The sequence below is a fragment of the Homo sapiens genome, chromosome 8, assembly GCF_000001405.40.
Source record: "Homo sapiens chromosome 8, GRCh38.p14 Primary Assembly".
In the NCBI taxonomy this organism is placed as follows: domain Eukaryota; kingdom Metazoa; phylum Chordata; class Mammalia; order Primates; family Hominidae; genus Homo; species Homo sapiens.
The window spans coordinates 75,473,302-75,489,146 of record NC_000008.11 but is presented as its reverse complement, the minus strand read 5'-3'; the positions used below and the strand labels follow the sequence as shown (position 1 = coordinate 75,489,146).

The 15,845-nt window shown below is 36.9% G+C and overlaps 1 protein-coding gene across 8 annotated transcripts in view; it reads right to left on the bottom strand.

The window, feature by feature from the left end:
- Positions 1 to 15,845, bottom strand: part of HNF4G (hepatocyte nuclear factor 4 gamma) — a 159,186-nt gene that overhangs the window by 77,688 nt on the left and 65,653 nt on the right. For 3 of the 8 annotated variants that reach the window (XM_017013373.2, XM_047421737.1, XM_047421739.1), the window contains exons 2-3: positions 7,664 to 7,741; positions 3,331 to 3,362 (exon numbers count right to left, since the gene is read on the bottom strand). The exons of 1 other annotated variant lie outside the window; for it this stretch is intronic. The gene's annotated coding sequence lies outside the window, so the exon portion shown is untranslated. The remainder of the gene's footprint in view (positions 1 to 3,330; positions 3,363 to 7,663; positions 7,742 to 15,845) is intronic. 4 more of the 8 variants (NM_001330561.2, XM_017013375.2, XM_047421738.1 and 1 more) reach the window with 2 other exon arrangements.

Sequence of the window (15,845 nt, the reverse complement as noted above, 5' to 3'; positions counted from 1 at the left end):
CAGTAACTGCAGGTGAATATATGCGTGGCTCCAACAAATATGAGATGCTATTGTGGCTTCTGGGTTATTTTTCTGGAATTCAGCCACCTCCATATTGGAGGCCTTTTCTTTGATCAGTGCTGGGAGCTTCTTGACTCACCAAAGTGAGCGGTGAGCCTAAAAGCTAACAGTGGTCTTTCCTGAATTCTATTTCTCCAGGTCTTCCATTAGTTTTGTGAGCATTTTGTTCCTGGAATTAAATCCCTCCTACTTCAAACTCCTGAAGTGTTTTCTGCTTTTCTGACCAAACCGAGGATGAAACAGTGCCTTTTCATACTTTTTAATAGACAGAAAACATCACACTCCTTATATTCATTTTTTAAATTTGAGGAAATAGAATGAGAAAGGCTATCAAAGATACTGAGATAAAGGCTACTAAGAATGGCTGATCCATACTGTCCCTGTGTAAATCGCAGTTCTCTCATCTGTAAAATGAAGAATTTGCTATATTAATCCCTAAAGTCTCTAATGCTTTAAAGTCCTAAGAAAGATTGTATTGTTCTAAGCTTATTGTCCAAAACGTCCAATGAGGCCGGGCATAGTGGCTCATGCCTGTAATCCCAGCACTTTGGGAAGCTGAGGTGGGCAGATCACTTGAGGTCAGAAGTTCAAGACCAACCTGGCCAACATGATGAAACCCTGTCTCTACTAAAAATACAAAAAAAAAATAGCCAGGCATGGTGGCACACGCCTGTAGTCCCGGCAACTCAGGAGGCTGAGGCAGAAGAATTGCTTGATCCTGGGAGGCAAAGGTTGCAGTGAGCCAAGAACACGCCACCGCACTCCACCCTGGGCAACACAGTGAGACTCCATCTCAAAAACAAAGTAAAACAAAACAAAACAAAAAAAGTCCAATGACCAATTTTGTCAAATTACATTTAACAACAGTGATTTCTAAACTCCCTAATAAGTGGCCCTTGTTTCTGGAGTCCAAAGACATAAAGAAAAATATAAAGCATGGTTCCTACCCTCAAGGAGTGATATGGTTTGTCTGTGTCCCCACCCAAATCTCATTTTGAATTGTAGTTTTCATAATCCCCACATGTCATGGGAGGGATCTGGTGGGAGGTAATTGAATCATAGGGATGGTTACCCTCATGCTATTCTCGTGATAGTGAGTGAGTTCTCAAGAGATCTGATGGTTTTATAAGGGGCTTTTCCCCTTTTGCTTGGCACTTCTCCTTGCTGCTGCCAAGTGAAGAAGGCCGTGTTTGCTTCCCCTTCCACCATGATTGTGAGTTTCCTGAGGCCTCCCCAGCCTTGAGGAACTGTGAGTCAAATCTCTTTCTTTTATAAATTACCCAGTTTCAGGTATGTCCTTATAGCAGTGTGAGAATGACCTAATACAAGGAGTCAATCTTTGTGGAGGGAAATAATGATCATCTTAATTAGCATGAACAAGTGAGAAAAGAAATTATTCTAATTCTAGTTAGTCCTGAAATTCAGAGGAAAATTCATAATTGAGAACTGGAGTGATCATGAAACTGGGTCTAAGCTGGGCTTTAAAGGATAGATAAATTTTGATTGGTAGGCAAAAGAAAAGAAGACTTTTGGGTCAAAGAAAGGCAAATAATTAGTGTTTGAAAGGATATGTGAGAAGTGTGATTGGATAGTAAGAGTGGGACTATTTTATGGAGGGTTTGGAGAGAGCTAGACAGAAAATTTCAGATTTGTTTACATGAATGATTGGAAGCCATTAAAGATTTGTTGAGCAGATCAGTGATATTACGTGTACAAACCAAATAACAAATATAAAAGATCAAATATGTGTCTATCCCGAAATTCTTAAACATGGCAGCTTCTAGAGCCAACGGCATGTTAAACTTAAAAACAAATAAATAAATAAAATAAAAAAATATAAGAATCGCTGATCTACACATACAATTACATGTAAAAGAAAAACCTGTCTGCAAGTTGGCAAAAGGAGCCTGTCCCAAGGTAAATACTGTTATAGTGGAATATAAAGGTTGTCAAAATGAGTTTTAAAGCATTTATATTATTCAGAAATGAGTAAAAAACTGGGTTTTTAATATTTGCCAATTTTTAAATTGTTGAAGTAAGTGGGATTTAACATTACCTAGTTTTTTCTTATCATTTTTTTTTAGACAGGGTCTCGCTCTGTCGCACATGCTGGAGTGCAAGTGGTGTGATCATGGCGGCTCACTGCCGCCTCGATCTCCCAGGCTCAAGTGATCCTCCTGCCTCAGCTTCCCGCATTGCTGAGACCACAGGCACATGCCACCACACCCAGCTAATTTTTTATTTTTTGTAGAGATGGGGTCTTGCTCTGTTGCCCGGGTGGTCTCAAACTCCTGGGGTCAAGAGATCCTCCCGGCTCAACCTCCCGAAGCGCTGGGATTACAGGCATGAGCCACCATGCCTGGCTACTCAGTTTTTAAATTCACTTTTAGAAAGTGAAATTCCAAAATCAACTATAAACTTTCAGCATAGAAAATTTTTGTTTGTTTGTTTTTTGCCTGAATTTGGTCAGCTTCCATCTACAAAGGTACAGATGAACTGAAATTGGTTTCTACAAAAGAACTATAGTAATTATTACTAATTTAACTAAAGTGTGAAATACTCTTAGGCAAGGACTATTGTTTATAGGTATCTTATTTTCTTCCTAAGGGCTTAGCTTACTACTTTGTACATAACACAGATTCAACATGTATATGATCAATGAAGGAAAAAGAAAGATGGCCAAATCAAGTTACTCAAATCTGGTTATTAAAATATAACAAAAGGTACTGCTAAGGTTCAACCAGAAAGCATGTTGAGGTCTCTATAAGAGGGACAATGGAGACTTATACTTTAAGACATGCAGAAAACTTAAGGGAAAATTATTTGGCCAAGGCTGATCGTAGGGACAATGTCCTTAGGAAGGACAGCTAGTTTCATTTGTAAGGTTAAGGTCAAGAAGTCAAATGTGATGGTCAAGAAAGAAGAGCTAGAAATTAAGAATCCAGTTAAGGCAGGGACTGTAATTCATTCAGTCATTCATTCATCTGTAAGTCTGGCATTAAGGCCTGAATAAAACTGGGCCCTATATAATCATTCAGGGCTCACATCTGATGCTTTGGATGAAGGATATGGTTGGCAGCTAGAGCAGACCTAGTAGGGAAGCTAGTGTCTGCAACAGCCAGTAGAATCTGTGTCGGCAGTATGACTTAACTCCAAAGACTACCAAATGCTGTATCTCAAAATACATGCCCCTGTACCATCAAAATTATCTAACAAACTAGGGCAATCTGAGCCCAGAGTTTTTCAGGGTCCTTGCTCATTTGTACTTACTTCAAGAGCAGGGACGGTCAAGGCAGCAATCACTGGAAGAAAAACCAAAATAAAAAGTATAAGAGGAAATCTATAGAGATAGATTTTAAATTATGTTTTACTTTGGTGAGTTTGAGGAACAAAATTAATTTTTGAAAGGCAAGTTTATCTTAAATATTGAAGTTTGAAATAAATAAATTAGGTATCTTTAAAACTGGATGGTATACATTTGATTGCTAATCAGTATTAGTGATAGGAAAATGTCAAAAAGCATAAAAGCTATACATAGAAAGAAATATATTCAATCAGCTCAAAACTTTAATTAACAGTTTCTATGGTATAGGCTTAATGTAGCTACTTATTCTGCAGTTTTTTACATAGAATTTTACATTGAACATTATTAAAATATATTTATGACATTGATTTTGGGTTAAATTGTTCAGAAAAATTAATTGCAAATTGTGTGCCAATTCACAAGATAGTGATCAACTTTTCTCTTTTGATGAGTGGAAACTCTTTGGAATTTGATGTCAAAATATTCACACTTGAAACCTAGCTCCAACATGCTTTAATGGTTTTCTTCCTTTTTATAGAAAATGATAAGTACTTGGTATAGGGAATTTGTGAAATGTAGAATTGTGTGAAAAAAATAAGAACCAGTGCAATTCTACCACCATTTCCATTTTTATATATTTTCTTCAGAATTTAACATGTTTATAAATTTATTAACAAATTAATATAAAGATTTGTAATATTTCTGCATATTTGACCTACAAAGTTGACCATTTAAATATAGTTATCTTAGTTACATTCAGTACAACCACTTACAATTGGCGGCTAAGAGCTTGTGCACAACATTCAGAGACGTCAGGTTTACATTGGAGCTGTCCGCCTACTGTATAACTCTGGCCAATTTTCTTCCTTTACAATTTAGTTTCCTTATCCATAAAATGTAATAAATATGGTTTCTACTTCATAAGTTTTTGGTGGAGTCTCAATGAAATTATGTCAAAAGTGCTCAGAGAGTGCCTTGCAATTCACTCATTTGTTCATTTCCTCAACAAATGTTTACTGAGCTCATTCTATGTCCCAGTCACTGGGGCAGGCATTGAGTAAACAAGGACACAGTTACTGCTTCAGTGAAGCTGATAGTCTATTGGGGAGGACAGACATTTGAAAGATACCACAAGGTGATTAATTATAATCATAATATATACCATGAAGGAAAATTAGAGTTTTGTGAGAACATGTAACTGGGGAACATAATGTGGCTGAAGTGGTCCTGCAGATCAGCAAAGGCTTTCCTGAGAAAGAAACACTTAAGCTGGAACCTGAAGAAGTAGCCAGGCAAAGAGGATGGCCAGGAGAATTCCAGGGAGGCCCTTGAGATGGGCAGAAGCCTTGTGCACTGGAGTACTCTGGCTCAGAACTCAAAGGTTGTTTCCACAATTGCAATCAGAAGGACTATACATTTCTAAATATCACTCTTTTCAATTATTATTAACCAGAGAGCTTTTTTCCATTTTCCATTTTCCATTTTACTGAAAACATGATTCGTAATGACTGTTTATTGCTCATCATGAAGATGTACCACACTATACTTAGCCATTCTCCTATTTAGTCATGTGATTCATTTCTAACAATTTCTATTTAAAGAAATGCTGAGCTAAACATTCTAATTTACTTAGAATTCTTCTTAATGACACGTTGGGTCAAAAGGAAAATATATTGCCAATTTTGCCATATTTTCTTTCATTAAAACAATAAAAATTTACGTTCTGAAAAGCAGCCATCTACTTGGCTTCCCTAACTTGAATATTCCTTAACTTTACTTTTGAATCTGTAATACTACTAATAATAAAGTTGTGATAATTCATGAAGTATTTTATGTGAAAGTGTCCATGTGTATAGCAAACTGTACTAAAAGGTCAGTTATATCAGTGCTGTTTATTATTGATCGAGACATATCAATACAGAGATAATATATCTAAGAAACTGTAACTAATAACACTTGCTAAGGTATCACCTTGTCTAATCCTTAATAAGTGTTATTATAATAAATTTTAAGAGATATTAGATACACAGTTTTTAAAGTATTATATACATCCTATTTAAATGAATAATTTCTCTCAGTTTTAAGAGAGCGGACCTTTCATTTACCTAAGTCCAGCATTAAATACACGACATTAAGCTTCAAGGAAGAGTTGCACCAATGGTATGTTTACGTTTTAGGGAGGAAAAAATATGAGAAACCTTAACAATTTAGACTGCGAGTCCACTTGGTGAGATGCAGGGGGCAGTGTAACAAAAGCTGAGAAAAGAAATGGCCTCACTGCAGACCTGAGTGCAGGGAGGGGCCGAGCACCAGAGGGAACTTCTCTGGGTGGAATGGGTGGACTGTTCCTTTTTAACAAGAGAACACTTTTGCTTGCTTAATGTTAATAGCCCTGTTAAAGAGAAAAGATGCAGAGAAATGCAGTCATGCCCTGGGCCATGAAAACCACTTAAGGAATTACATTTGCATTGAAAAGAGAAAGTAACCATCCCTTGACTAATTTATTAAGATAAAATTTAAAAAAAAAATTAAGTGACTTATTTGAAATAAATGAATAAATATTTTAATATAGCAACATTCATCATTTTTAGAAATATAATCCATTTTATATTTATTTTAGCAAAACATAACATGCTGTTGTCCATTTCCTCATTAAAGAGCTATTGTTTTGTTATAAACAAATCATTTCAAACTTTGTTTTATGATACCTGCGCATGTTCAGTTCACATGTCATTGAGTTTAAAAGTGTTCAATTGTCCCTCCTAATATTCAGTCACTACTGATTACTCTGTTATTTAGTGATAAACAGAACACGGAATTAGATTACAATTTTAACCAGAAAATGAAAAGTTAACTAGGAATTACTTCAGCCAACAATAATGAAACAATGGTGTAAATATGTTATAAACACTACTGCTGTTAGATACAGAATCAAGATATGACTGTGTCAAATTTTGTGTTTACAGGTTAAAATTCAAACATATTCTTAATAAAGAAAAAGCAAGCATGACGACCAGCAAGTGGTATTTAAAAGAATATAAACTTGTCAGTGTTCTAGTGACAAACATCAAAAGGCGATCAGGAAAGTATCCAAAACAAAACAAAACAAAAACCAGCCGGGGGGCGGTGGCTCACACCTGTAATCCCAGCACTTTGGGAGGCCAAGGCAGGCAGGTCACCTGAGGTCAGGAGTTCAAGACCAGCCTGGGCAACATGGTGAAACCCCATCTCTATAAAAAGATACAAAAATTAGCTGAGCATGGTGGTGCAAGCCTGTAGTCCCAGCTACTCGGGAGGCTGAGGCAGGAGAGTCGCTTGAACCTGGGAGGCGGAGGTTGCAGTGAGCAAAGATTGTGCCACTGCACTTCCAGCCTGGGTAACAGAGAGAGACTCCTTCTAAAAATGGAGCAGAAGGGAGGGGAGGGGAGGGGAGAGGAGAAGAGAGGCTTTTAATACAAACTATATCTTTCAAGATCAATACAAGGAGGTCCCATTAAAATCCTCCCAAATTTCCAGATGAGATTTTTAATTTTTTCTAGGCAACTAGCTAATCTTTCTGCTGCTTAAGGAACTGTGAAATATTCCTTAATCTCATTTTTATTCAGGAAGGCATTTACACTGCAAAGCCTCAAGTAGGGGATATTCTGAGGGTGAGACCAAAAGATTTTAAATTTGAGGATGATCCACTTCACAACTTGATTTTCTCGAGGATATTGTGATATTGCGCTTGACAGTTGTTTGCACTAGATTTTTAAAAACTTCAATATCATGATTTTATTCAAGCTTATACACAAAGGCTATCGAACATTTCCAACAAAATTCACAAAATTTCCCTGAACAAAGGTGCAAGTAGATTATGTTATGTTAGAGGATGAAGACAGGCACAGGGTATGCAGTCCAGAGTCCAGAGGTGTATACAAGTGTATACAAGTGGCCATTACACATTTTTTTTTGTTTGGGCATTTTGCATTTTTATTTTTATAAATGAGTTTTCAGATGTCAAAAATTTCATTGAAAATTTAGATGCATAATTTTTATTGAAATAGAATTTGGCCATGTTGATCTTAAATTTCCCTGTGGACAGTACAGAAATCTCACTAAGGCTGTGACACCCCCTCTTGATGAAATGTGTACATCCTAGAAAGTGCCTTGGGGTCCCACCGTTATCTTCTATTCATCGCCCTACTCGTGCTTATCAGATTTGCCCAGCTCCTGTAGGAATGACAGAAACTCATCAAGTACATAGCAACCCTAACAGAACAAAGAACAGGTAAGTGCTCAAAAATAATACTAACTTACTGTTTTCAAAATTCCAGGGAACGAAAGTTTTTTCCTGGCTGATAATTCAATTCATCTCAGGGATAGCCAGAGTTGAACCTTGAAAAATAAATGGAATTTCTACTAGTAAGAAGAGCAGATGGATATTCCATGAAAAGTCTGGAGTATAAGGCAGTTCCAGAAGTGGAAAAGCACAAAATTTGTATGGTAACTCCTGTGTCTGACTCAAGTATAGGAATTAGGAAAAACATAAATGGCTCATAAAGTGTTAAAAGTAAAGAAATTTCAGATGTAATATAGTCCAGGGGCTTTTCAAACCTTTACTTTATGGAATTATCTAAATAAATTCCAAGCATGAAGCTAATGGATAAAATACAAAGTCAGAATTGTGTGGGAGACTAAAAAGCATTTCTAATCTGTAGGACTCTGCAGAGCACCGTTTGAAAACCAGTGATCTAATTCCATCCTCTGGTGAGAAAATGAGATCCGGCCGGGACCAGTGGCTCACGCCTGTAATCCTAGCACCTTGGGATACCGAGGCAGGTGGATCACCTGAGGCCAGGAGTTCGAGTCCAGCCTGCCCAACATGGCGAAACTCCGTCTCCGCTAAAATAAAAAATACAAAAATTAGCCGAGTGTGGTGGCTGACGCATGTAGTCCCGGTTACTCGGGAGGCTGAGGCAAGAGAATCACTTGAACCCAGGAGGCAGAGGTTGCAGTGAGCCGAGATCACGCCACTGCATTCCAGCCTGGGTGAGATTCTGTCTCAAAAAAAAAAAAAAAGAAAGAAAAAGAAAAAGAAATGAGATCCAGAGAAACGAAGTTACTTGTTCAAGGTCATTAGGATTGAAAATGAAGAGTCCTTACTTCCTTTGTAGTAATATGTATAACACTTAATTATCCCAGATATATTTTCTGGCAAGGTTCATGGAAAATATGGTAAAATATTATTTCAGTACCATACTTCAATACAAAAAATTAATAAAGTTGGACTTACTTCACCTCCGCCTGAATTTTGTTTTACTTTAGCTATTATCTTTATCATTCACTCTTGGTTTCACTGATAAAAATTATTTTTAAAGTTCAAACTAAGTATCAGAGAGAAGACCTGTAGTAGCTTATCAGAGTGCAGCCATGCTACAGGATTCAGCCTGGGCTGCCAGCTTTGACACTTTGGGCACTCAATATGTGCTGCTCTGCCATGGCTATGCACGTATACAATTAAAATGTGCGCTGCTCAAAGAAGGGGAAATGATTTTTCCCAAAGTTTGATTTAATTTTACCTTAGATATTATGTACTTTCCAGTTAATCTTATTAAACTTTTGTGTTATTATTAATTCTTGAGGAACTTTTTAAAATTTACATTAATAAACCAAAAGTTACCAGGTATAGCACATAGATAAGCAAATTATCTAATAGGCAATTAAGCATACATTTAATAAGAATTATATTGTTCTCAGATTGTATGGGAGAATTTTTCCAAAAAATAACACTTTTTTCTATAACATCAAAAAAAAAAAGTTAAGGTTGTTTTTCCTGTTATATAAATCATAAACCTTTGTGATATGTTTTTGCTATTTTTGGTAATATGGTATATCCTAATCAATTAAAAGTGTCATGATAGACTACTTTCCTCAAATTGATACAAATAAACTTGAAAACATTGATGTGATGGATAATCTTCTGGAAATATGTTATTTATCAATACTACAGAAGATAAAGAAATGTTCTTTTTTTTTCATATTTTTCAGCTTGTAAAATCTTCCTTCACCTCCATGGTAGTTTAACAAATGCAGAACATTTTTCTTATTCTCTCTTGTTATCCAGTTTCTAATTTTAAAAAATGTTTGTTCAACAAATATGTAGGCATTCACAGCATCGCTATTTCTTTATATAAGAGACACATACACCAAAAAAAAAAAAAAATGCAAATGAAGTGATAGAATCTTGTTAATGATATAGCCCTGATATTAATTTCTACACTGGTTTTATCTCTGAATATTTACTGTCCTGAATAAGTGTATGGCTCTAAAGACAGTCTCCTCAGTTCAAATCTGGGCTCTGCCAGATTTGATTACTAAAAATTTTAGGTTACTAAAAATCAGTCTTCTCCTAAAGATGATTCACTTGATTCCATACAACCTGTATTTGAAAATCGTATTATCTGCAAAATATGCAAGAAATAAAAGATTTGATTGGTACCATATGCAGGCCATTTTTTAGGTGCACGAATCCACTAACTTCAAGGGCAATTGTTTTTTATTCCTTTAGATAAATGAATCCTTTGCCTCTATTGATGAGCAAAGCTAAGGGATATATAATCTAAGAGGCCAATCTATCTCTTAATAAGGGTAGTAGTTTGGTCAGGGATGATTTGGGAGAGTTCCCTTGGAAATAATACTGTGCTTAACAAATAACAAGGGCCAATTCTGTGCTAGATATTTTTCAAGCCCTTTCATATCCCTTTAAAATTATGCGTTGCCGGCCGAGCGGGGTGGCCATGCATGTAATTCTATCACTTCGGGAGGCCGAGGCGGGCAGATCACCTGAGGTCGGGAGTTCGAGACCAGCCTGACCAACATGGAGAAACCCCGTCTCTACTAAAAATACAAATTAGCCAGGCGTGGTGGCACGTGCCTGCAATCCCAGCTGCTTGGGAGGCTGAGGCAGGAGAATCGCTTGAACTCGGGAGGCGGAAGTCGTGGTGAGCAAAGATCAGATCGCGCGATTGCACTCCAGTCTGGGCAACAAGAGCTAAACTCCATCTCAAAAAAGAAAAAAGAAAAAGAAAAGATGCGTAGCTATCTCCAGCTTTATACATGAGCAAACTAAGTCTCAAAAAGGTACACTAGCTTGAGCAAGAATACATACCGCTTGACAAAGCCAAGATTCAAAGCCTAAATTTATCTGATATCAACATGCATTCTCATTTCACATTATATTTTGGGACTGAAGAGTCTAACAAGCCACTTTCTTTAGTTTTCAGGGTGGACTCAAGATCCTGTGCTATGAATTTCAACGTCCTCAGTAAAAGAAAAAAAATTGTTTGAAAATCCGCTGTACAAAAAACTGAATTTTAGAATCCGTAAAACAACAGGTTTTAGGACTTTAGAATGCCTGCGGAAGTATTCCAGAATTCTAATATGCAGAATTCCTTTAAACCGTGTTCATTAATCCTTTTGTCCCTAATACTATTTAAATTCCATTTGTCACTCAGGCTGGAGTGCAGTGGTGGGATCTCAACTCACTGCAGCCTGGGCCTCCTGGGCTCAAGCGATCCTCCCACCTCAACCTACCAAGGAGCTGGGATCACAGGCACCCGCCACCACGCCCTGGTTAATTTTTTCAATTTTTTGTAGATACGGGGTTCCGCCATGTTGCCCAGGCTTGTCTCGATCTCCTGAGCTCAGGCGATCCGCCTGCCTCGGCCTCCCAACGTGGTGGGATTACAGGCGTGAGCCACCACACCCGGCCTAAATTTCAATGTATATTTATGTAAGCTAATGCATCATAATTTTTTTTCTTTTTTCTTTTTTTGAACGGAGTTTCGCTCTTGTTGCCCAAGCTGGAGTGCAATAGCACGATCTCGGCTCACTGCAGCCTCCCCCTCCTGGGTTCAAGCGATTCTCCTGCCTCAGCCTTCCAAGTAGCTGGGATTACAGGCATGTGCCACCACATCCGACTAATTTTGTATTTTTAGTAGAGACGGGGTTTCTCCATATCGGTCAGACTGGTCTTAAACTCCCAACCTCAGGTGATCTGCCCACTTCGGCCTCCCAAAGTGCTGGGTTTACAGGTGTGAGCCACCACGCCCGGCAGAGAACTTTTTAAAATATATATTTATATATATATTTTTAATGGTGCAAATAGTAATACAAAGAAATGCAAGGTCTAGCAGAAAAACAAGAACTGAATTTTTAGTTTCATTTAGTTTGGGTAGGGGTCCTATTTTAAATATTAACAAATTCAGAAAATAGGTAGTTCTCTCTTGCGTAAATTTCCATTGCCCTTCTGCTCTCTTTACATGTGTTTCCAAATTTAGTCACCTAGAAATTAACTGTTCTTCAATTTCTGTACATATGATGAGACTTGAAGAATTTGACTGTAAATGTAGAGGATCCAATAGACAACGATATTGATAAAGTCTAACATTTCTCATTCCCCATAGTGTGATTCTAATAAATATTTTAGCACTGAAAGTACACAGTTAAAAAAATTAACCTAAGAATCTTTAGAAAATTTAATGGTAGGCTCTGACCATGGGGAACATATACATATATCAAGTCAAATGGTTTTCTTTGTAATGGCAATATAATCTTAAAAAACCAAAATATTTCAGACTCTTGAAGCAAAACTGGGAAATGCTTCTATTTCATTCCTACAAACTCTGCTGAAGGTGTTATCAATTAAAATTGACAAGATGTTGATAAAACTGAGAGTTTGAGAGAAGCTAAATAATTTTAAAGCTAAATACTCAGTTTTTAGTTTTACTTGAAAATAGATAAGACAGATAATCAAGCACTACATTAAACAAAATGTTTATACTTAGTTTTCAATTGAATCTATCCATGAATATTAGAAATGTTAACACTGGGAGGGGAGGAGACACTCCTCACTCCTGATGTTTCCTTCTATACAGCTGGAGCTGACTCCTGACCTCACTGCATGCATTCATTCACCTGCCCCAGAGCAGGTAAAGGAATTTATCTGGCTGGCAAATTTGGAAAGATTAAACTGGCCTGCATAGCCCTGCCCCGCCCCTCTTTCTTTGGGCAGAAAGCTACAGGTAGTTCCCACAGGAAATTACACAGACAGGAATTTCTAGCATCTCAACTCTTGATAAAATATGGCATACATAATCTACAGTACATGTAAAAACAAAACAACAACAAATTTTAAAAACTATGTTTGTATTACGTTATCTTCTCACAAATGCTAAATGACATAACGGGGTTAATTTTGCCATAATAAAAAGTGCAAAAAGAAACATTAACCTGATATTGAATAGTTGATTTCAAGACATACACTCAAATGCAGAATTTCAACAATTTTGTCAAGGGTGTGGAGAAAAGGGAATGCTTATACCCTATTGGTGGTGCACTCTTATGTTTATTGCAGCACTGTTCACAATAGCAAAGTCATGGAATCAACCCAAGTATTCATCAATGAATGATTGGGTAAAGAAAATGTGGTATATATATGCCATGGAATACTACACAGCAATAAAGAAAGAATAAAATCATGTATTTTGCAGCTGTATGTATGGAACTGGAATGCCAAGTGAAATAACTTAGAAACAGAAAATCAAATACCACATGTTCTAACTTTTAAGTGGGAGATAAACAATGGACATGGATGTAAAGATGGAAACAATAGACACAGGAGACTCCAAAAAAATTGGAGAACAGGAGGGAGGTGAGTGTTGAAAAATGGTCTTTTGGGTGCAATATGCACTATTTGAATGATGGGTACACTAGAAGCCCAAATCTCACCATTACACAGTATGTCCATGTAACAAACCTGCATGTGTACGCCCCAAATTCATAATAAAAAAAATTTTAAAAATAAATTTAATTTTAAATTCAAAAATGAAGTTCAACAATTTTCATCAGAAATTGAAAGTACGTTATTGTCGCATACAAATTGCCAGTTATATACACCCTACATACACTTTAGTTTCTACCCTATAATATAAATTGTACTTCTATGGTTTATTATAAATGAAAAATAAGGCTGGGAACTGGGCATTTTCTTCTTGGCACTTTAAAATAAAAACAATAAATGAAAAAATAAAAAAACTCTGAAGCTGTATGTTTTCAGTGCTTATCAATATAACTGATCCATAAGCCATTAGTGGGTCATAAAATAAAAAAGCTCAATAAAATAATTATAACCTCACATGTTTATTTAGCTCTGAGACTTAAATGATGGACCTTTGTACCTGGCCTTGCCTAGAGACAGTTTCATTACACACACACAAACACACACATACATAAATATAAATACACGCACACACATAAACATGCATAGGCTCATGTTCTATCTTTCTCTTAATTATATAGACTCATATACACATGTGCTCACAGGACATCTATAATGTCATATATTTCCTTTAATAAACAACAGAGGGGTACTATTTGGCTTCCTTTTAAAAATAAATAACTTAAGCCATGGTTTTTTTAAAAAATAATTATTTGGCCAGGCACAGTGGCTCACGCCTGTGATCCCAACACTTTGGGAGGCCCAGGCGGGCAGATCACGAGGTCAAGAGATTGAGACCATCCTGGCCAACATGGTGAAAGCTTGTGTCTACTAAAAATACAAAAATTAGCTGGGCGTGTTGGCATGTACCAGTAGTCTCAGCTACTCGGGAGGCTGAGGCAGGAGAATCGCTTGAACCCGGGAGGCAGAGGTTGGCACTGAGCCGAGATCACACCACTGCACTCCAGCCTGGAAGACAGAGCAAGACTCCGTCTCAAAAAATAAATTAATTAATTAATAAATAATAGGCCAGGCACAGTGGCTCACACCTGTAATCCCAGCACTTTGGGAGGTCCAGGCAGGCAGATCATGAGGTCAAGAGATCAAGACCATCCTGGCCAACACGGTGACACCTCGTATCTACTAAAAATACAAAAATTAGTTGGGCGTGGTGGCAGGCACCTGTAATACCAGCTACTCCGGAGGCTAAGGCAGGAGAATGGCGTGAATCTGGGAGGCGGAGGTTGCAGTGAGCCAAGATCGCGCCACTGCACTCCAGCCTGGGCAACAGAGCGACAAAAAATAATATTTATTATTTGTATTAAAAAATAATAATTCCATCTCCAAAAAAAATAATAATTATTATTATTCATCATTCTTGACCTCTGAATTTCCTCTGAATTCAGACAAACTCCAACCAAAAGGAAAAGCTCAACTTATGTGGACATATTTCAGACATTTGTAATTAGATTTCTAACTTTCTCAACTTTTTTCATCAATATTGAACTTATTTTAAGTAGTTTTAAGGACATGAAATCTAAAACCTTCATACAATACTCAATCTTCCTTCTAACTTCCTAATTTAGCCATAATATGGAGAGTGGTCAAAGTTATACAATTTCTCAAGTAATGGTAGTATATTAAACAAATTTAGGGCATATAAAGAGTATGCTTCTTACCTAGCAAAGTAAATGTTTTTACACACTTAAAAGTGTCTCTTGTTACTAACACAAAAGTAGTAGGCTAATGCCACATTGTTGATTAAAACTGCTGTTCTAGTCAGTGTTCAAATTAAAGAAAGAAGCATTTATTAACTGTTTAAGTTTTGTTATCTATATCCAGTATCCCTCCCATCCCCTCTGGTCTTAATAGCTAGATTTCAGGGGAGAAGGAATCTCTTTCTTTCAAAGTAATCTTTTTAAAGACCTTCTGGCCTTCTTTAATTTCTCATCAATGTCTAGAGATCTCTATTGACTATCCCTAGTTGACCACAAAGATTTTCACCTCCATCCTAACCTTCTCCTAACTCCTACTTTTTGTTCTCTTAATGCTTTCTTTGTTTTGTTTTTTGTTTCCGTTTGTTTTTTTCTCAGACAGCCCTTCTGTGAAATTGTTCACAATTTGGTCTCCATTTTGTCATCACACATTCACTTTTTTTTTTTAACCTCATCTACCCAAACCGTGCCCAAGAAACTGGTTTTCTTTACCAGGTGTCACCAGTTAAAGCCATAACTTTCCTACCCTGTGCTGCCTCTTTTGCATCGTTCTCTGTCTACTCCCCCCAGTTCCAATCCGAGTGAATCACTCCTGAAAGTTTAAGCTGTCTAATCTTCCTAACATGTAGCTTTGTTAAATCTTATTGTGGATGATGGAGACAGTCAGGAGGTGAAGTGGAGTCCCTGTAATTCTTTAATAGCTAAAGAGCCAAATGGATTCTTCTTCCCCTGGATAGACTTGATTTCACTATTCTCTTCACCTCAGATTTAGCAAAACTGTTAAACTCACTATTTTCCCACAAAACATTCACATGCCTGCCTCAAACTTTAGTATTTCCTTTGTCTAAAACCATATTTTTCAAACATTTTTAATCATGACTTACAGTGAGACACACATTTTAACTTGTGACCAAGTGTACATACAAGCATATTGGTCCAAATATATTTTATGTATGTATCACATATAAATCTAAACAATTTCCATGACATAATGACACTTTTTTTT